Source organism: Homo sapiens, chromosome 8, assembly GCF_000001405.40.
Source record: "Homo sapiens chromosome 8, GRCh38.p14 Primary Assembly".
Taxonomy (NCBI): domain Eukaryota; kingdom Metazoa; phylum Chordata; class Mammalia; order Primates; family Hominidae; genus Homo; species Homo sapiens.
The window spans coordinates 62,391,482-62,413,524 of NC_000008.11; the positions used below are offsets into that span (position 1 = coordinate 62,391,482).

The 22,043-nt window shown below is 38.4% G+C and overlaps 1 protein-coding gene and 1 pseudogene across 6 annotated transcripts in view; both read left to right on the plus strand.

Moving 5' to 3' along the window:
- Positions 1-22,043, plus strand: part of NKAIN3 (sodium/potassium transporting ATPase interacting 3) — a 750,799-nt gene that overhangs the window by 142,628 nt on the left and 586,128 nt on the right. The gene's annotated exons all lie outside the window — the stretch shown is intronic.
- Positions 3,854-7,338, plus strand: LOC112268028 (translation machinery-associated protein 7-like; annotated as a pseudogene).

Below are 22,043 nucleotides of genomic sequence, written 5' to 3' on the forward strand. Positions count from 1 at the left end.
TAGATAAAAGATGAGAACTAGAGAAAAAGGCAGCATTTAAATAGGGACAAGTAATATGGGCACAATGAAAGAAGAAGAGAAAAGATACATAGAAATGGAATAAAATAGGAAAATTGTGAGATTCTCTGGATAAGAAATGAAAAGCATATGTAATATTATTTTAAAATAGATTTTAGTGAAAATAAAGGCAATGATATAAGTAAGGGAAAATGGCAGTTTTTGAAATATAATTTACAGATCACGATGGATAATAAGAAACGTTATCTAAGTTTTTGAAACCTCTCATTGTTTAATGCATTATGAAGATGAATGTGTGTGAATGTGTGGGTGTGTGTATGCGTGTGTGGGTGTGTGTGAAAAATATTAGACTCATTTAGGAAATATACAGAGCATCAAAAATGTCACACACATCTTGTTATGTTTCATGAAATAATATTGGTACCTGGCTCATTCTGTCTCAACTGGAATAATTTATCTTTGGTGTATTAATCTCTGACCCTCTCTCAATGACGACAACAACAACAATGACAACAACAAGGAAACATTCACTAGACAACATAAGGAAGTTCTAATTAAAGCCCTAAAAAGTATTTAGTAGAAGAAACAAAATTGACAAACTATCAGAGCTGCCAAATATTTAAACATTTTAATAGAATAAGACTATGAAAAAAATGTATAGGAAAACTCCATGCTTTTGAAATTGTTATTACTGGTCATTTTACTCTGAGTAAGAGTTAAGTGTATTGGCAATCACTTGGCTTCACAGTAATTTAAAACCAAATAAACATGTAACAAAGGGAAATATATTTATTATATCATCATAAAGAGCATTTTGGTAACTATAAACTTTAAAAAATGTGTATGATTTGAAGGAGACTTTTGTAGTGGAGTGAAGCTCACTTTTATTGCCAATTTGTAAGTTTACAAACATAATTTAAATAAGTTTTATTAGTAGTAGCAATGAGAAGTTGAAATATTGAAATTTTGCTGTATTTTATATATATTTTACTTTGGCTATATTTATATTTTGGCTGTATTAACTTCAAAAAGTTATCTCGCTTACCTGGCCACTTCATTATGCAAAGAAAAGCATAAATGTATTATATTCATTGAACCATTAAATGGGAGCCTAGCAAAGCAATTAAAATTAATAGGTCATTCCAGAACATGATAGATATAGTATGAAAAAAAGAAAACCTGTGTTGATTAGCTGTCAAAGTGTTGCATCTGTTTGTCAAGATGAACAGAGAAGCAACTATTTTTAGTAACTGTCTTTCCATTTTTATCATCATAATTCATATGGTCTTGTCATTTTTTAAAACTGCAGATTAGAATTTTTTAAATATTTCAAATACCCTCTTCAAAAATACTACAAATAAAATATATGACTTAGAGATAAGGAAAATTAATTTTATATTCAGCATTCTCAGTCTCCTGGACTGTAACAGCAGTACAAATCTTCATGTTGATAATGTGCAGAAGTGTTGGTTTATTGGCATGAAAGTTTAAGTGAAAGGTTAAGAAAGATTAACATGGTGCAGGTCTCTAAATTTCAGTAGAATCGCTGGTCATACTTAGTGGAAAACGTAAATGAAACATTATTAGTTTATGAAGAGACACCAGAGTATTGCATATCCATGATTTTTCTTAAAGAACTAAAGTGTTTACATTTGTAATACAATATTCTATGGTTGGTATTGAGGAAATTGATAAAGATTTCTCCCAGATTTTCTTCTAAAAGCTTTATAGTTTTACCTCTTATATTTAAGTTGATAATCAGGTTTGTATACTTTTTGTGTATGGTATGAGGAAAGGGTCAAAGTTTTTTTTCTATATTTATATTCATTTATTCTAAATCCATTTATTGAAAACACGATCTTCATTTCATTGAATTTCCTTGGTATCTTTGTTGAAAACCCATCTACAATATAATAATTGTGGGTATATTTCTGGACTCAAAATTCCTTTTAGTTGATCTTTATGTCAATCCTTATGCCAATCTCATACTCCTTAGAGTGCTTTTATTGTAAATCTTAAATACCAGCTAATTTGATTCATCTGATTTTGTTTTTTCTTAAAAAAATTTTTAAGCTTTTCTAGATTATTTGCCTTTCCTTACAAATATTAACATTGGCTTGTCAAATTCTTATATAGAGACTGCTAGGATTTTGATTCTGAATGTATTCAATTTATAGTCAATTCTGGAAGAATTGACCTCTTAAAAATGGTGAATTTTCAAATTAATAAAAAAGTATATATTTCCATTTAGATAAGCCTTAACTTTTTAAAGCAATGCTTTAGAGTTTTCAGTTCACAGACATTGCACATCTTTTTGTTAAATTTATTTGTAAGAGTTTTTCTTTTTATGGTATATGCTGTAGTTAATTAAAATTTGATTTTATTGTCAGGTTGTTTATTTCTGGTGTATAAAATAAAATTGATTTTTGCATGTTAGTTTATATCTTGAGAATGTGTTAGACTCATTAGCTTTAGGAAGCTTTATATTAGGTTCTTTAAGATTTTCTACATACACCATGTCATATGCAAATAAATGCACTATTGTTACTTCCATTCTAACATGTGCCTTTCATTTATTTCTTTTTTGTCTTGCTATACTTGCAGCGGTGAGAGTGGACATTCTTTGCCTTTTTCCCAATTTCAGGAGAAAACATTCTGTTTTTCATCATTAAATATGAAGTTAGTTTTACATTTTTCATAGATACGCTTTATCAGGTTAAAGACGTTTTCCTCCATTTCTCATTACATTTTTTTTTAAATCATGAATGGTGCTGAATCTTGTTAAATGTTTTTTCTTCCTCTACTAAGATAATCTTACAGTTTTTCTCTTTATTACATTTAGGTAATATGCTTAGATACGTTACATTTATATAATACTACATTTGTTAACCTTCGGATGTTAAACCAACTGTGTATACATGAGAAAAATTACATTTGTTCTTGGTGAGTTATTGTATTTTTTTCTTGACTGTAATTGCTATTTTTTTTTTTTAATTTAAAAGTAAACTTTAATGTCAAAATGCAAACCTGGGGAGGGCATAAAGATCACACACAAGGCTGCCACTTCACACTTGGAGGGTTGCACAGTGGCCAGTCAAAGGCGCTCCTCACTTCCCAGACAATGTGGTGGCCAGACAGAGGTGCTCCTCACTTCCCAGACCTGGCGGCAGCGGGGCAGAGGCGCTCATCACTTCTCAGACGGTGGGGCGGCCAAGCAGAGGTGCTCATCACTTCCCAGACGGGGTGGCGGCTGGGCAGAGGCGCTCATCACTTCTCAGATGGTGGGGCGGCCAAGCAGAGACTCTCATCACTTCTCAGATGGTGGGGCGGCCAAGCAGAGGCGCTGCTCACTTCTCAGACGGTGGGGCGGCCGGGGGAGGCGCTCATCACTTCCCCGACGGGGCGGCGGCTGGACAGAGGCGCTCATCACTTCTCAGATGGTGGGGCAGCCAAGCAGAGGCGCTCCTCACTTCCCAGACGGGTCGGCGGCCGGACAGAGGCGCTCATCACTTCTCAGATGGTGAGGAGGCCGGGCAGAGGCGCTCCTCACTTCCCAGACGGTGGGTCGGCCAGGCAGAGGCGCTCATCACTTCTCAGATGATGGGGCGACGGGACAGAGGTGCTCCTCACTTCCCAGACGGGGCGGCGACGGGACAGAGGCGGTCCTCACTTTCCAGATGGTGCAGCGGACGGGCAGCAGCGCCCCTCACTTCCCAGACCGAGGGAGGTGCGGGGAGAGGTGGCCAGGCAGAGGCGCTCCTCACTTCCCAGACATTGCGCGGGGCCGGGCGGAGGCCCCCCTCACTTCCCAGACGGTGGGGCGGCCGGGCAGAGGCGACCCTCACTTCCCAGACCGAGGGAGGTGGTGGTGGGGGGTGGCCCGGCAGAAGCGCTCTTCACTTCCCAGGCGGTGCGGGAACCAGGCGGAGGCACTCTATTTGGTAATATCTTTAAGGATTCATGAAAAAAAAGTCTATGAAACAAACAAATTGAGAATCGTCCCATTGTACAGATTTAAAATTATTTTAAGCAAGAGACTTTTCTTTATAGCTAAATATCTAAATATCAGAGTATTTTTTGTAGATGCTTATGTAAATTCTGGAACGTTGTTTTCAATTTTAATAAAGATATTTATCCAAAGTTCCACACACATCCACATATCCACACACATACATATATATCCTGATATCTATCTTCATTAGCAACATATCTTAATTATACATATATCTTAATTTGATAGATATCTTAAGCTTCTCTGAAGTGATAAGTAGATATAGATCTCAATTAGATATACATATTAGAAGATAGAAATACTTGAGCAATTGATCAATAGAGGTTCTGCTTTTTAAATTAAAAAAGTAGTTGCATAGCTATTTTTAAATGTTAATTATTCTTTCAAAGAAACTGATGAATTTTCCTGTTAAAAAATTGTAAAATGTGTATTTAAATCACCCATATAGTGAGGCTTAAGTCTCCAGATTTATTACTTTATGAGCTACCAGAATTATAGAAATGTGGCAATTTATTTTGAAGAAAAAAGAGGTTTTTAAAAATGTACTACCACATTATTTTAATAGCACACTATACAGACATCAGTACTTACAGGGAAAACCTTAATCCTTTAGTGTAATGTTTAGTGTTAATTATGTCTCTCTCACACACACACATGCACACACACACTTTCTTAGAGCTGCTTTATTTTTATCCTCAGAAGACCCTTATGCACAAAGGTGATTGTTTCCACTATAGAAGCTTCCCTTGTGTGATTATTTCCCTTTTAGAATCTTAGGCAGTTCAGTTTAGAGAAGTCCCCTCAAAAGCCCCCTTCTTATTTGGCTAGGCCGCAACCCGGTGCCTAAGCCTATACTCTCCTTAGTGTATCAGTGCTCTTCAGGACAATTATACAATGAAAAGCTTAGGCTTTTCTTACAAAGGCAGTTTATACTGGAATGTAAATTAATTTACAGAATTAATTCTCAGATATTCCTTGTATTAAAAGGACAAGGTATTTCCTGGGCACTCCATAGCTTAAGATACCAATGTGTTTATCATAGTATTTTTATTTCACTTTTTGCTTAAACAATTGTGGCTCTTAATTTATAGTAGAATAAATTTGATGTGTGTGTTAACTTTCTACTAATTAATAACCTGATAATTTTAGCCCTACTTACCCTGTCTATTCTGCTAAACCAAATTACAAAATTTACACTTTACTCCTATGACAAGTTCTTCATTATTTTGCCCCTGTAACTATTCTTGTGTTAATCACTATTAGGAAAATGTCCCCTACCTATCACTTCAGAGAAGCTTCTTATTGCGGCTTTGTTTCCCAGGTACCAGGTTATAACGACTTACTTTGGTATTTGTTATACCAAGTGATTGTGATGTCTGAACTTCCCTGACCTCAGTTTATCATCAGAGGGAAAAAGGACAAAAGCCCTTGAGCGGGCAGTGATATACATACAGGTTTTAACAATTTATTGTGCACGACAGATGTAAACTAAATATTATTTAGGATATTGGGATATGTGGGGTGTTCTTTGGGGTGTTCTAGAAGAATCATCTTAAAACTCTCCCAGCACAAAAGTGGTGTGTCTGTTATCAGTGGTGCCATCACAGATCTTTAAGGTTTTAAGGTTTAACAGGAAAGCCACTGGCCTCAGTGCTCGAAGGACCACTGATCCTTGCTACCACCCTGATATTTAATTAGAGGAGAAAATAAACTTTATCATCCCATTTGTGCCTTTTATTATCTTTTTCCTTAAAAAAAAAAGCACAATGAACCAAAACTTCTAAAATTCACCTTTTTTTTTCTTTTGGTGGAACAAAGATGTGTTAGTATTAGAGTTGTTTATTTTGTTTAAAGGATTTCTATCTTGAAGTATGTACTTTGTTTTCCTCAGGAGCACAAACCACTCTACAGACAATAACTCACTTAGATCTTTCAAATTCTGCAGAGAGTTGTAGGTGATAAGTAGTATATGCAATTTACAGGGAGGACAATTGAAATAGAGGTTGCCTCTAATTGCTCAGAATCAGAAACCACAACTATAATGGAATTCAGAATAGAATCTGGGTCTCTTGACTCCCAATTAGTTCTCTATCCACTAGATCACACTCCCTACTCCTCAGTCCTTGGAAAATAGATGGTAAATTTTACATAAGGCTAACTCTGAATTACCTACAGTTTGTAATGAGCGCCTACAGATGCTGGTTTACATTCACATCATTGCCCTGGAGTCGGCGCTACGGCATCTGCCAGAAACCTGTGGATCAGCTGTCTTGTGCTACTGTGGCAAAGCCAGGAAGAAAGGCAAGCAGGAGGAGAGCAAAGGGAGCAGAAAGAGTTTGGATGTGGGAAACACAGAACTTATAAAAATCAGGGGAACATTAATAGTTGTGGAGTTGGATGTCAAGACTATGCCACCATCTATGTTTGTGCAGATGGAGACAAATTGAGATGGAATTCCATCCTTATACATCATTTTCCACATACAAACATGGACACTAACTTAAGGGTAAAACTGGTGGGAGAGGGGTGCAGGCACCATGTCTGGCCACGAAGCTGGCAAGAAGCCCCCCAAACAGCCCAAGAAGCAGGCTGAGGAGATGAACGAGGAGATAACATTTTCAAGCAGAAGCAGAAAGAGGAACAGAAGAAACTCAAGAAACTAAAAGCAGAGGCTGCAGGGAAGGGGCCCCTGGGCAAAGGTGGAATTAAGAAATCTGGTAAAAAGCAAGCTGTTTCTTGTGCCGGAGGCCATGGTGACCCTGAATTCCATCCCTATTTAAACATCTGAATTTCCTGCTGTAACATCCTTTGCCACCTATAGTTAGAATGAAGTGTCATCTTAGAGCCTGCCGCACATTTAAGAATAAACTTTTGTAAAAATAAATAAAATAAAAATAAAAGCAAATCTAAACCACAAAATAAGCAAGTAACATGAAAACTAGAGCTTTGGCAGTTCTGCAAGAACTTCCATTGCATAGGCAGATTTCATGTAAGCTGTTGAATCTCTAGTATCAATGGTATGGCATGACTGAAAGTACATGGTAGTAATTTAAAAGTTTCCAAGTGAGAATGGTGACAAAACAAACACGTTACAAGCCTCAATAGGGAGATTATTCACATAGGTAGTATTTGGACATGGTGTCTTGCAGCAATAAACTGTAGCGTGTTCACTGTTAGCAGAGTGAACTGTTACTGTCCTGTTTTAGTTATGATTGTCTTTATTTTGATTACTCAGAAATTTCTAATATATCTTCTTGAAGATCAGAGTGGGTTGTGATGTTAAATATAAGAAATTATAGGCCGGGAGCATTGGCTCATGCCTGTAATCCCAGCACTTTGGGAGACCAAGGCAGGCAGATCACGAGGTCAGGAGATCGAGACCATCCTGGCTAGCATGGTGAAACCGTGTCTCTACTAAAAATACAAAAAATTAGCTGGGCGTGGTGGCACACGCCTGAAATTCCAGCTACTCTTGAGGCTGAGGCAGGAGAATCACTTGAACCCGGAAGGCAGAGGTTGCAGTGAGCCAAGATCATGCCATTGCACTCCCGCCTGGGTGACAGAGCGAGACTCCTTCTCAAAAAACAAACAAAAAAAAATTGTCAAAATTTATATGGGATAAAACTACTCAACTTTTTTTGTTTCTATTATCTGGAGATATTTACATCATTTTTTTCAGAAGATAAACTTAAGGCATGAAATACATGTTCAGGGCAGGGCATGGTAGCTCATGCTTGTAATCTCAGCACTTCGGGAGGCCGAGGCGGGTAGATCGCTTGAGATCAGGAGTTCAAGACCAGCCTGGCCAACATGGTGAAACCCCATCTCTACTAAAAATACAAAAATTAGCAGAGAGTGGTGGTGGGTGCCTGTAATCCCAGCTACTTAGGAGGCTGAGGCAAGAGAGTTGCTTGAACCTGGTAGGTGGAGGTTGCGTGAGCCAAGATCGCGCCACTGCTCTCCAGCCCAGGTGTAAGAGGCAGCCTCTGTCTCAAAAGAAAAAAGAGAGAGAGAGAGAGAAAGAAATACATATTCAGTGCTGAGATTTGCTTAAACAAGCAACAATTGTATAAAAGAAGAAAGAATGGAGAGTGTGGTAAATATTGAAAATATAAATGACTATGTGATCTCTCAAAGGAGCTTTTGGTACAATTCCTGATGACCAGAATGTATGAATCTCATTAACTACACCTTAGAATGGTGCCTGGTGCATAGTCAGCTCTCAGTAAGCATCTGCCTAAATGAAAGACATAGAAAAGCCAGCTTTCAGTAAGTTCCAGGATGCAAGAGCAGTGAGGAAATGGAGAGAGTCATTATCAAAACATCAGCTAACATGCTTGAAGTAAGGAGGAAACATGAATTGTCTCAGAGATGTGCAAGCTTCTTCACAGAGTTAAAAACTGAGACAATGGTCTAATATAGGGGAGACAGTGTGGATGACACAGGAGAGAGAGGGACAGTATATAAGACAAGGCTCCTGAACATAGAGGGGCTAGGACTTCCAGCAGAAGTAGAGAGTTTGGCTTACATGAGAGGAGGAACATTTTTTTGTTTTGTTTTGTTTTGTTTATTCAGTAGTGAAGGGAAAACAAGAGATCACAATTCAGGCTAGTCAGTTGTGAGAGTTCCTGTGTGGTAGATGCTATATTTTCTTTTTTTTTTTTTTTTTTTTGAGACAGAGTTTCACTCTGTCACCCAGACTGGAGTGCAGTGGTGTGATCTCAGCTCTCAGCAACCTCTGCCTCCTGGGTTCAAGTGATTCTCCTGCCTCAGCCACCCGCCCCCCAGTAGCTGGGATTACAGGCCTGCACCACCATGCCCAGCTAATTTTTGTATTTTTAGTAGAGATGGGGTTTCTCCATGCTGGCCAGGCTGGTCTCGAACTCCTGATCTCAAGTGATCCACCTGCCTCGGCCTCCCAGATTTCTGGCATTACAGGCATGAGTCATGACACCTGGTCAAATGCTATATTTTCTAGAAATCGGATGTTTTGTTAAGATTGACTAGAAGTATGAACCATAGGGGTGTAGAGGAAGCATTGACAAGGGGAGTGTCCTAGCAATTGTTGTAGGACAGGTCTTGTGTTCATGAAATCCCTCAGCTTTTTTTTGTCTGGGAAAGTCTTCATCTCTCCTTCATCTTTGAAGGATAGTTTCACTGGATATACTATTCTACAATAAAAGTTAACAGTTTTTTTTTTTCTTTTGACACTTTACATATGTCTTGCCACTGTCTCCTGTCCTGTAAGGGTTCCACTGAGAAGTCCGCTGCCACATGTATTGGAGCTCCATTGTATATTATTTGTTTTATTTCTCTTGTCACTTTTAGAATCCTTTCTTTATCCTTGGCCTTTGGCAGTTTCATTATTAAATGTCTTCAGATAGACTTACTTAGGATAAATGTGCTTCATGTTCTGTAACCTTCTTGTACTTGGATATTGATATCTTTCTCTAGGTTTGGGAAATTCTCTGTTATTATTCTTTTGATTAAACTTTCTACCTTTCTCTCACTCTCTCTCTCTCTCTCTACATCCTCTTTAAGGCCAAGAACTCTTAGATTTTCCCTTTTGAAGCTATCTTCCAGATCTTGCATGCATGCATTATTCTCATTTATTCTTTCTTTTGTCTTCTCTGTCTGTGTATTTTCACATAGCCTCTCTTCAAATTCACTAATTCTTCTGCTTGATCAATGCTGCTATTACAAGACTCTTATGCACCCTGCAGTGAGTCAATTGCATTTTTTTAACTCAGAGTTTCTGTTTGATTCTTTTAAATTATTTCAATCTTTGTTAAATTTATCTCATAGGATTCAGAATTCCTTCTCTGTGTCATCATGAATTTTGTTGAGTTTCCTCAAAACAACTATTTTGAATTTTCTGTCTGTAAGGTCACATATCTCTCTCTCCATAATGTTTCACTGGTGCCTTATTTAGTTCATTTGGTGAATGCATGTTTTACTGGATTGTCTTGATGCTTATGGATGTTTATCATTATCGAGGCATTGAAGAGTTAGGCATTTATAGTAGTATTTGCAGTCTGTGCCCATTCTTCTTGGGAAGGCTCTCCAGGTATCCAAAGGGACCTGGGTGTTTTTATCTAAGTTTTTGGTTACTGCAGGCATATCTGCATTAGGAGGAACCCCACGCCCAGTAACTCGAAGGATCTTGATGACTCCTAGAAGTACTGCCTTTGTGGTCTTGGATAAAACCTGGAAGAATTCACTGGATTATCAGGCAGAGACTCTTGTTCCTTCCCATTACTTTCTCCCAAATAAACAGAGTCTTTCTGTCTGAACTGAGCTTCTAGGGCTGGGAAAGGCGGTGACACCATCATGGGGACTGCACCAAGTTAGGCCCAAAGCCAGCACAACACTGGGTCTCACCCAAGGTCCACGATAACCACTGCCTGGCTATTGCCTATGTTAACTCAAGTTTCTAGAGTTCTAGAATCTGCTGGTGGTGAAACCATCCAGGCTTTTCTCTCAACCTTCAGGGCTTCAAGTGTCCCCTGATCACAGTTAGGTCCAGAGATGCTGTCTGGCAGCCAGTCCCTGGAGTCACAAACCTTAGGTATCAACCTGGTGCTCTTTTTTTATTGTGGTTCAGCTGACACCAAGGCAACAAGAAAACATCTTTCCCACTTTTCCCTTCACTTTCCACATGCAGAGGTTTTGCTCCCCATGGTCACCACCACCCAAGCCTGTGGTGAGTAATGTCTGGTTACCACCAATATTTATTCAAGCCCCAAGGGCTTTTCAGTCAGCTGGTGGTAAATGCTTCCAGGCCTGGAACTCTCTTTTCAGAGCAGTGGACTCCTCTTTGACTCAGGGCAAGTCAAGAAATGCTCTCTAAGAGCCAAGACCTGGAATTGGGAACCTCAAGAGCCCATTTGGTGTTTGATATGGTTTGGCTGTGTCCCCACCCAAATCTCATTTTGAATTGTACTTTCCATAATCCCCACATGTTGTGGGAGGGACCTGGTGGGAAGTAATTGAATCATCGGGGTGGTTTCCTCCATGCCATTCTCATGATAGTGAGTAAGTTCTCACAAGATCTGAGGGTTTTATAAGAGGCTTTTCCCTTTGAACTTGGATCTCATTCTTCTCCGTCCTGCCGCCCTGTGAAGAAGGATTTGTTTGCTTCCCCTTCTGCCATGGTTATAAGTTTCCTGAGGCTTCCTCAGCCCTGCAGAACTGTAAGTGAATTTAACCTCTTTCCTTTGTAAATTACCCAATCTTGAGTATGTCCTTATAGCCGCGTGGGAACAGACTAATACAGTAAATTGGTACCGCAAAAAGTGGGGTGCTGCTGTAAAGATAACCAAAAATGTGGAAGCAACTTTGGAACTGGGTAACAGGCAGAGGTTGGAACAGTTTGGAGGGCTCAGAAGAAGATAGGAAAATGTGGGAAAGTTGGGAACTTCCTAGAGACTTGGTGGGCTCAGAAGACAGGAAGATGTGGGAAACTTTGGAACTTCCTAGAGACTTGCGGAATGTTTGACCAAAATGCTGATAGTGATATGGACAATGAAGACCAGGCTGAGGTGGTCTCAGATGGAGATGAGAAACTTGTTGCGAACTGGAGTAAAAGTCACTCTTGCTCTTCAAAGAGAATGGCAGCATTTTGCCCCTGCCCTAAATATTTGTGCAACTTTGGACTTGAGAGAGATTATTTAGGGTATCTGGTGGAAGAAATTTCTAAGCAGCAAAACATTCAAGAGGAAGCACGCCTAAAAGTTTGGAAATTTTGCAGCCTGACAATGTGATAGAAAAGAAAAACTCATTTTCTGGGGAGAAATACAAGCCAGCTACAGAAATCTGCATAAGTAACAAGGAGCCAAACGTTAATAGCCAAGACAATGGGGAAAATGTCTCCAGGGCATGTCGGAGACCTTCATGGCAGCCCCTTTCATTACAGGCCCAGAGGCTTAAAAGGAAAAAATGGGCCAGATCCAGGGCTCCCCTGCTGTTTAACCTCAGGACTTGGAGCCCTTCATCTCAGCCACTCCAGCCATGGCTGAAAGAGGTCAAGTTACAGCTCAGGCCATTGTTTCAGAGGGTGCAAGCCCCAAGCCTTGGCAGCTACCATGCGGTATTGGTCCTGAGGGTGCACAGAAGACAAGAATTGAGGTTTGGGAACCTCTGCCTAGATTTCAGAGAATGTATGGAAATGCCTCGATGTCAGGCAGAAGTCTGCTGCAGGGGTGAAGCCCTCATGGAGAACCTCTGCTAGGAAAGTGTGGAAGGGAAATGTGGGGTCAGAGCCCCCACACAAAGTCCTCACTGGGGCACTGCCTGGTGTAGCTGTAAGAAGAAGGCCACTGTCTTCCAGACCCCAGAATGGTAGATCCACTGACCGCTTGCACCATGTGCCTGGAAAAGTAACAGACACTCAATGCCAGCCCATGAAAGCAGCTGGGAGGGGGACTGTACCTGTAAAGCCACAGGGGCAGAGCTGCCCAAGGCCATGGGAGCCCACCTCTTGCAACAGCATGCCCTGGATGTGAGACATGAAGTCAAAGGAGATAAGTTTGTAACTTTAAGGTTTAATGACTGTACTGTTTTGGACTCACATGGGGCCCGTAGCCCCTTTGTTTTGGCCAATTTATCACATTTAGAATAGGTGTATTTACCCAATGCCTGTAACCTCATTGTATCTAGGAAGTAACTAACTTGCTTTTGATTTTCCAGGCTCAAATGCAGAAGGAACTTGCCTTGTCTCCAGTGAGATTTTGGACTTTGACTTTTGAGTTAATGCTGGAATAAGAGTTTGGAGAACTTTTGGAAGGGCATGATTGTGTTTTGAAATGCGAGGACATGAGATTTTGGAGGGGCCAGGGGAGGAATGATATGGTTTTGCTGTGTCTCCACCCAAAGCTCGTCTTGAATTGTAGATCCAATAATACCAACATGTCCTTGGATGGAGCCGGTAGGAGGTATTTGAATCACTGGGGTGGTTTCCCCCATGCTATTCTCATGATAATGAGTAAGTTTTCATAAGATCTGGTGGTTTTACAAGGGGCTTATGCATTTGCTTGGCTCTCATTCTTCTCCTTCCTGTCACCATGAAAAGAAGGAAAGGACACGTTTGCTTCTTCCTTCACCATGATTTTAAGTTTCATGGAGCCTCCCCTGCCCTGCAGAACCATAAGTCAATTAAACTTCTTTCCTTTATATATTACCCAATCTCAGGCATGTCCTTATAGCAGTGTGAGTATGGATTAATACAGTGCTATACCCTACTGTGCCTGAGCTCTTACCTATGCTGTAAGACAAAATACTGTGTACTTTTCCCTGTCCTTTCCTCAATCAGTAGTTTCTTCCCATGGCCACCATAGCTGAGAATGTGTTAGGTCACACCGAAAGCAAGCACATCTCTGGGTCTCACCTATGGCCCATGGTGAGCACTGCTTGGGTATCACTGCTGATTATTCAGGGCCCAAGGACTCTTTAGTCAGCAGGTGATGAATCCTGCTGCAACCGAGTCCTTCCTTTTAAGGAAGAGGGTTTCCTCCCACCCTAGTGTATGTTTGGAAATGTCACTGGAAGCTAGGGCCTGGAATAGGGGCCTCAGTACTCTGCCTGGTACCGTATCCTACTGTGGCTGAGCTAATACCCAAGTTGGAATACAAAGTCCTCTTTACTTTTCCCTCTCCTCTCCTCAAGCAGAGGGAAAGAGCCTCTCCTGGAGCTGCAAGCTGAGTTTCCTGCCATTGGGCTAAGGGTGGCACAAGCACTCCTTTGGCCACCCCTGCTGGCGTCTCACTGGGTTGCATCCCCACCAAGTTCACTGGCTCTGAGCCCAGCACAGTACCAAGACTTGACCAGGAATTGCAGCCTTTGTGGCTTAAGCCACTTTTCAAAGTTATGTAGGACCACAGAGTACTTTATTAGCCTGTGGTGGTGGAGCTGCAAGAACTCAGGTTCTGACCACTGGGATTAACAATTTTCCTCTAGCTAGGGCTGGCATAATTGCTCCCTCTGCAGATGCTGGCTGAGTTCTGCCTGGTGTTACTTTCCACTGTGACAGAGAAGCACTGAGTTCCAATTCAGAGTCCCATAATCACTGCTCTCTCCGTGCCCTAAGCACATAGATTCTCCATGCGGCAGTGCTGCTGCTGGGTGGTAGTGGTGTGGGGGTGGTGTGGTTGCCTTTCCTACCCTCTTCAGTGCCTCTTTCAGTGATGTGAGCTAAAACCAGGTACTGTAATTGCTCACCTGATTACTGGTTCTTATGAAGGTGCTTTTTTATGTGAATAGTTGTCCAATTTGGTGTTCCCATGGAGATGATCATCAGTGGATGTTTCTATTTGGCCACCTTGCTCTGCCTCGACATTCAAGTGTTCTTCATGAGCCATTCTCATTTTAGAAGCTCACTGATTTCTCTTTTCTTTTAATTAACAAACTATTAATAATTTACACCATACAAGTTATTACTTGGCTGTAAATCATTTTTAAACCAGTATCCAATTATTTGAAATTTATGAGTCTCCTTTCTCCAATAAGAATATAAGTTCTTTGATCAATATGGCTCACTACAGTAAAACCAAGGATAATTTATCTTACTCACCATAATGTTTAATGAAGTATTGTTCCAAAGTTTTTCCAAAGAGAAGTCACTCCTTATACTTAGTGTCTATCCTCAGTGCCTAACACGTGGCTGAGTACATACAAGGTATTCAATAAATGCTTGTTGAACTGATATGGGCAACTATTAAATACTTAGTTCATGCATATAATTTCATTGCTTATGCTTTCAATGTCTTAAAATGGAGAAGACCTCACCTCACCTGAATTTGTCTGCTGTAAAATATGAACTATGTATGTAAGCTCTTAAGAGAGAGCTTACATAAATTTAAGAAATATGTGAAAGTTAGATCATGCCCAAGATTTGTTTTTCAAACATAAGAAAATAAAATACATCACTGAAGGTATAAGTCTTTTATGAGTCTTTTCTTTCTCATAAAAATAAAAGTAAGATACTTTAGTCACTTTTATTTTAAAACAATATACATTTATATTTGGAAGCTGTTGCTTTCTGGGCTGTAAAATTTGCTTTATCACTGGACCTGAGAAAGACCTATAATAATAATGTTAAAATATTTTATTTCAAAGCATCATATTTATATACATTGAGATACCATTTATGTCATTTTAATTTAGACCTCAAAATATATTTTAATGAATCTGCTGATTTATATGAAGTCTTTATGCACACCAAATACTTAAGAATATTCCTCTATTAGGTGTTCCTGTCTCTAACTCTGCATCTGAAAAGGGGACTTGAATTTTTCTCAAATTCTTATGTGATCATGGCAAATTAAAACAGACAACTCTGTTGCTCCATATGTAACTTTCTAGAAACTCTTTCATGAAAAATATTCATTTAGAATAAGTTTCAAGCAATGTTTCAATTTGTTTCAGTTGTAAACAAGATATTTTCCTGTATCATTATCAAATTAGCCACAATGCTGATACTGTCATCACTGGCTGAATTAGAATGTTTGTAACAATATAGACATTTGAATGTAAAACATTTGCAATAATTTTTCTATTTAGGATTCTTTTACTGGACATTTAGGTATTAATTTTAATTGACTTTCCAAATATTACATGCTTACTGGAGAAAAAAGAAAGTAGGTATTAACAAAGAAAAAAACTCATAAATCAACCATTCAGAGATAAACATATTAATATTTTAATAGATTTTTCCAATATTTTGTGTATATATACAGCTATATGTATATATATATACACAAAAATTATATGTATATGTGTGTATATATATATATACTTGCATGCTTTTTTTCTATCTTTTAGGATCATGGTATATAGAGAGTTTTAAAAAATTAACATTGCATTGAATTTATTATCTGACAAGACTAGATAGTTGTTTTTTTTTTTTTTTTTTGAGACGGAGTCTCGTGTCACCGGGCTGGAGTGCAGTGGCATGATGTCCGCTCACTGCAACCTCCGCCTCCCGAGTTCAAGTGATTCTCCTGCTTCAGTCTGTGGAGTAGCTGGGACTACAAGGCACGCACCACCACACCCAGCTAACTTTTGTAATTTTTGTAATTTTGTAATTTTGTAAATTTTGTATTTTTAGTTGAGTTGGGGTTTCACCGTGTGAGCCAGGATGGTCTCGATCTCTTGATCTCGTGATCCACCCGCCTCAGCCTCCCAAAGTGCTGGGATTACAGGCGTGAGCCCCCGTGCCCAGCCTGACTAGATAGTTTTCAAAAATATAATGTTTAGGCTCATGCCTGTAATTGCATTGGTTTAGGATGATGACGTGGGAGGATGGTTTGAGGACAGGAGTTAGAGACCAGCCTAGACAACACAGAGAGACCACGTCTCTACAACATACATATATTTGGTCTATGTGGTGGCACGTGTCCCTAATAGCTACCAGGAGGCTGAGACAAGAGGATCACTTGAGGCCAGGAGTTGGAGGCTGCAATGAGTTATGCTCGCACAGTTATCCAGCACTCTACGCTGGGTAACAGTGAGACCTTGTCTCTAAATACATATATGTTACAGAGTGAGACCCCATAGGATCGCACTGTATTATAGTCTATATATTTACCCATCTGCTTCATTTATTTTCACCACATATTTTAGATATTATTTTTTCCCATTTTCCTTTTATGTAATAAACTTTGAACACAAAATTTTGAATACAGCTCTACTTATTCATCACATTACTTATCACAGTAGATTTTAAGTGGAATCATAATCTCCTAAGAATCTTGATCAACACTTTCAAAATATATTTTTAAAGGCCGTGAAAATTTATACATCCATCTAGGGCCAATAGTTGTATTTCTGCTTATATGTGAATATATACAGCCCTTGGAGTTGTGCAGTATACAGCCCACAAGACTGAACTGGTGATTTTACTCTCACCTGTAGAGTATGACTGTACCCATCTCACTCCACTAATATTAAATGTAATAAATTTAAAATTATTAATAGTATGAAAGGTTAAAAATAAACATGTTTCTTATAGAGCACTAAAGTTCAATTGCATTTAGCAGAGATCTTTAAAAACTGTGTTGTAAACATTATAGACATTTATTTTTTTCTCACTTAGTGGTTTAGAGGAAGTAGAGGTGATTCGTGTCTGGCAGTAGGTTTTTCTACAATGTTTTTCAAAGATCTCTGTGGCTGTTAACTTTTGCTCTCACCCACCTTGGTCTAAGTTAGTACACCACTGCCATTACCATGTCCAAACAGCATTATGGAGGAAAGTGAAAAAGTGAAGGGAAGTAGAATTTCCTTTCTATTTAAGGGAACAATGCAGTTTTCTTTATAAAAAAAATTCTAACTTTGCTTTAAAAACTTCTGTTCATATCCATTAGTCACAAATTAGTCACTTAGACAAATCTAATTGTTAGAGAAACTGGGAGATGTAGTGTTTATTTTGAGTTTGTCAAGACCCATCTGAAAACTAGGAATTAAATATTGCGGAAAAAATAGAAAAATGGTTTTGAAGAATTATTACTCTCTGCCATACAGAGAATCTTACATTTGCAATATATTTGATCACTGGTGAGATTGACATTTTTTCATGCGCTTATATAATTTCTTACATCAATTACAAGTTAGTGTTCTGTGCTATTTTTGTCACGGAAGTGTTTTTTGGAAAGGACTTTCTGTATAATATTTATATTAACTTTTTTTTGTTGTTTTTGAGATGGAGTTTCGCTCTTGTTGCCCAGGCTGGAATGCAGTGGAGCAATCTCAGCTCACTGCAACATCCACCTCCCAGGTTAAAGCAGTTCTCCTTCCTCAGCCTGCCAAGTAGCTGGGATTACAGGCATACATCACCACAACCAGCTAATTTTGTATTTTTAGTAGAGATGGGGTTTCACCATGTTGGTCAGGCTGGTCTCAAACTTCTGACCTCCGGTGCTCCTCCCACCTTGGCCTCCCAAAGTGCTGGGATAATAGTCATGAACCACTGTGCCTGGCATATATTATCGGTTATACTCATTTTAAGTATTATTCTTATACTACTTTTTTATTTATTGGAATTTTACAGGCCTATGATCACATTTTTATTATCATTATACTTAGAAAGTTTTTCCATTCCCCAAGATGTTAATATTTATTAATATTTCATTACAGGATTAAATAAATTTAGATTTTATTTAAAATGTTATTTTATCTTTAGGGTTTTTGTTTGTTTTTGTTGTTTGTTAAGGCTAAGAAGAAAAATATCCAACTTCAGAGTTTTTTAAAATACTTACTTTTCTTTACTAATTTTTAAAATTATTTATTTAACACTAAGTAAAAATTCAGAAGATTTTATATTGTGCTCATATAGTTTAGCACTTTTTTTTTTGGTTCACTACCTTATAGTCCTGGCTCACTTTTTATTAAATATTCAAAAATTGTACACACATGATTTTAAAAAGAATAAGGTTATCCTCAATATTTAGCAACTTTTTAAAATGTTTAATGAGTTTTTATTTTTTTCAACTATTTTTAAGATACAGGGAGCACATGTTCAGGTTTGTTACATGGGTACATTGCACTCAGGTAGTGAGCATAGTACCCAATAGGTAATTTTGGGACCCCCTCCTCCTCCCTCCCTTCCCCCTCTGTAGTCTGCATTGTCTATTGTTTCCATGTTCATGTCCATGTGTGTTCAATGTTTAGGTCCCACTTATAAGTGAGAATGTGTGGTATTTGGCTTTTTGTCCCTGCATTAATTTCTGACCCTGGTTAGGATAATGGCCTCCAGTGCCACACATGCTGCTGCAAATGACATGATTTATTATTTTTTTGTGGCTGTGTAGTATTCCATGGTGTGTATATGTAACATTTTCTTTATCCCATCTACCACTGATGGGCACTTAGGTTGATTCCATGTATTTGCTATTGTGAATAACAAGGCAATGAACATGTAAGTATATGTGTCTTTTTGGTATAATGATCTATTTTCCTTTATGTATATACCCAGTAATGGGATTGCTGGGTTAAGCTCTAAAATTATAGAACTGAATGAAATTGAGACGTAAGAATTGATACAAAAGATCAGTGAAACCAAGAATTGGTACTTTGGAAAAAAACAAAACAAGATAAGATTGATAAACCACTAGCTAGATTAACAAATAAAAAAAAGATAAGATCCAAATAAGTGCAATCAGAAATGATAAGAATGACATTATAATTGATCCCCACAGAAATATAAAAGATCCTCAGAGTATACTATGAACAACTCTATGCACATAAATTACAAGATCTAGAGAAAATGATGAATTCCTGAAAACACATAATGTCCCAAGACTGAAGAAGGAAGAGATTAAAACCATGAATAGACCAATATCAAGCTCTGAAATTGAGTCAGAAAAAAAACAAAACAACAACAACAAAAAAATCAGTGAAACTGCCAACCAAAAAGAGGCAGTGGACGAGATTAATTCACAGTTGAATTCTACCAGACATGCAAAGAAGAGCTGGTGCCAATCCTACTGAAAATATTCCAAAAAATGGAGGCAGAGGGGCTCCTTCCTAAGTCATTCTATGAAGCTAGCATCAGCCTAACACCAAAATATGTCAGAGACACAATAACAACAATAACAACAAAAGCTTTAGGCCAATATCCCTGGTGAACATAGATATAAAAATCTTCAACAAAATTCTAGCAAACCAAATCCCGCAACATATCAAAAAATTTAACACACCATGATCAATTAGGCTTTATTCCTGGGATGCAAGGCTGGTTTAACATACAGAAATCAATAAATGTAATTTACAATATAAACAGAATTAAAAGCAAAAACATGAGATCCTTTCAATAGATGGAGAAACAGCTTTTGATAAAATCCAACATCCCTTCATGATAAAAAGCCTCAACAAACTAGGCATTTAAGGAACATGCCTCAAAATGGTAAGAGCCACCTATCACAAACCTACAGCCAACATCATATTGAATGGGCAAAAGCTGGAACCATTCATTCCTCTTGAGAACTTGGAACAAGAAAAAGATGCCCACTCTCACCACTCTTATTCAACGTAGTACTGGAAGTCCTAATCAGAGCAACCAGACAAGAGAAAGAAATTAAAGGCATCGAAATAGGAAAAGAAGATGTCAAACTATCTCTCTTCCCTGATGATATGATTTTATATCTGGAAAACCCTTAAGATGATGTCAAGAGACTACTAGAACTGATAAACAATTTTACTAAGGATTCAGGTTACAAGACAGTGTACAATAATCAGTAGCATTTCTATACAACAATAATTCCTGGCTAAGAGTCAAATAAAGAACACAATTCCCACCTCTACAATAGCAACAAAGAAAATGAAATACCTAAGAATACAGCTAACGAAAGGGGTGAAGTATTTCTACAAGGAGAAGTACAAAACACTGCTGAATGAAATCAGAGATGACATAAACAAATGGAAAAACATTCCAGGCTTATGGATTAAAAGAATTAATATAGTTAAAATGGCCATATTGCCCAAAACAATTTACAGATTCAATGCTATTACTAAAAAACTACCAAAGTCATTCTTCGCAAAATGAGAAGGAAAAAAATAAAAGCTATTCTAGAATTCATGTGGAACCAAAAAAGAGTACAAATAGTTAAAGCAATACTGAGCATAAAGAACAAGGCCAAAGGCATCACACTAACCAAATTCAAACTATACTATAAAGATATAGTAATCAAAGTAGCATGGTACTGGTACAAAAAGAGACACATGGACTAGTGGAACAGAATAGAAAATGCAGAAATAAAGCTACACATTTACAACCATCTGATCTTCAATAATGCTGACAAACAAAAACAAACAAACAAAAAAAAACAGTGGGGAAAGGTCTTCCTATTCAATAAGTGGTGCTAAGATAACCGGCTAGTTATATGCAGAAGATTGAAGCTGGACCCCTACCTTTCACTATATACAAAAATTAACTCGAAATGGATCAAATATTTAAATGTAAGACCTCAAACTATAAAAATTCCAGAAGAAAATCTTTAAACAGACAATCTACAGGATGGGAGAAAATATTCCCAAACTATGTATCCAACAAAGGTCTACTATCCAGACTCTATAAGGAACTTAAATCAATAAGCAAAAAACAAATAACCTTGGCTGGGTGCGGTGGCTCACAACTGTAATCCCAGCACTTTGGGAGGCAGAGGCGGGCGGAACATTTAAGGTCAGGAGTTTGAGACCAGCCTGGCCTCAAACTGTTTAGTAGAGACATGGTGAAACCCTGTCTCTACTAAAAATACAAAAATTAGCCGAGCATAGTGGTGGGTGCCTGTAGCCCCAGCTACTCGGGAGGCTGAGGTAGGAGAATCGCTTGAACCCAGGAGGTGAAGGTTGCAGTGAGCTGAGATCGCACCACTGCACTGCAGCCTGGGTGACAGACTGAGACTCCGTCAAAAAAAAAAAACAAAAAAAAAAAAACAGCAAAACATAACAACAACAAAATAACCTCATGAAAACATGGGGAAAGAACATGAACAGAAACTTCTCTAAAGAAGACATACAAGTGGCTACCAAACATATGAAAGATGCTCATGATCAGTAATCATCAGAGAAATACAAATTAAAACCACAGTGAGGTACCATATCACACCAGTCAAAATGACTATCATTAAAAAGTCAAAACCGACAGATGCTGGCCAGGCTGTAGATAAAAGGGAGCACTTATACACTGCTGGTGGGAATGTAAATTTGTTCAGCCATTGTGGAAAGCAGTTTGGAGATTTTTCTTAGAGTTTAACATCTCTTTAAGGACTATCAGTTCTGTTTTGTTGCTTTCTCCAGGGCTGGTGTTCAGTAAGCACACATGTCTGGAGTGTGGTATATTCTACCAGGATACATTCTGAATATTTGGGACAACTGCCACACCACTTGTTAAATATTTTTGACTATCACCCTTGGGTTTATTCATTGGTTTTTGCCTGAGCCTCACATTATGTAATTTTTCTACCTTATTATGTTGAATTATTAAGTGTTTTTCATATGTAGAGGGTATTCAAAGTTCAATATA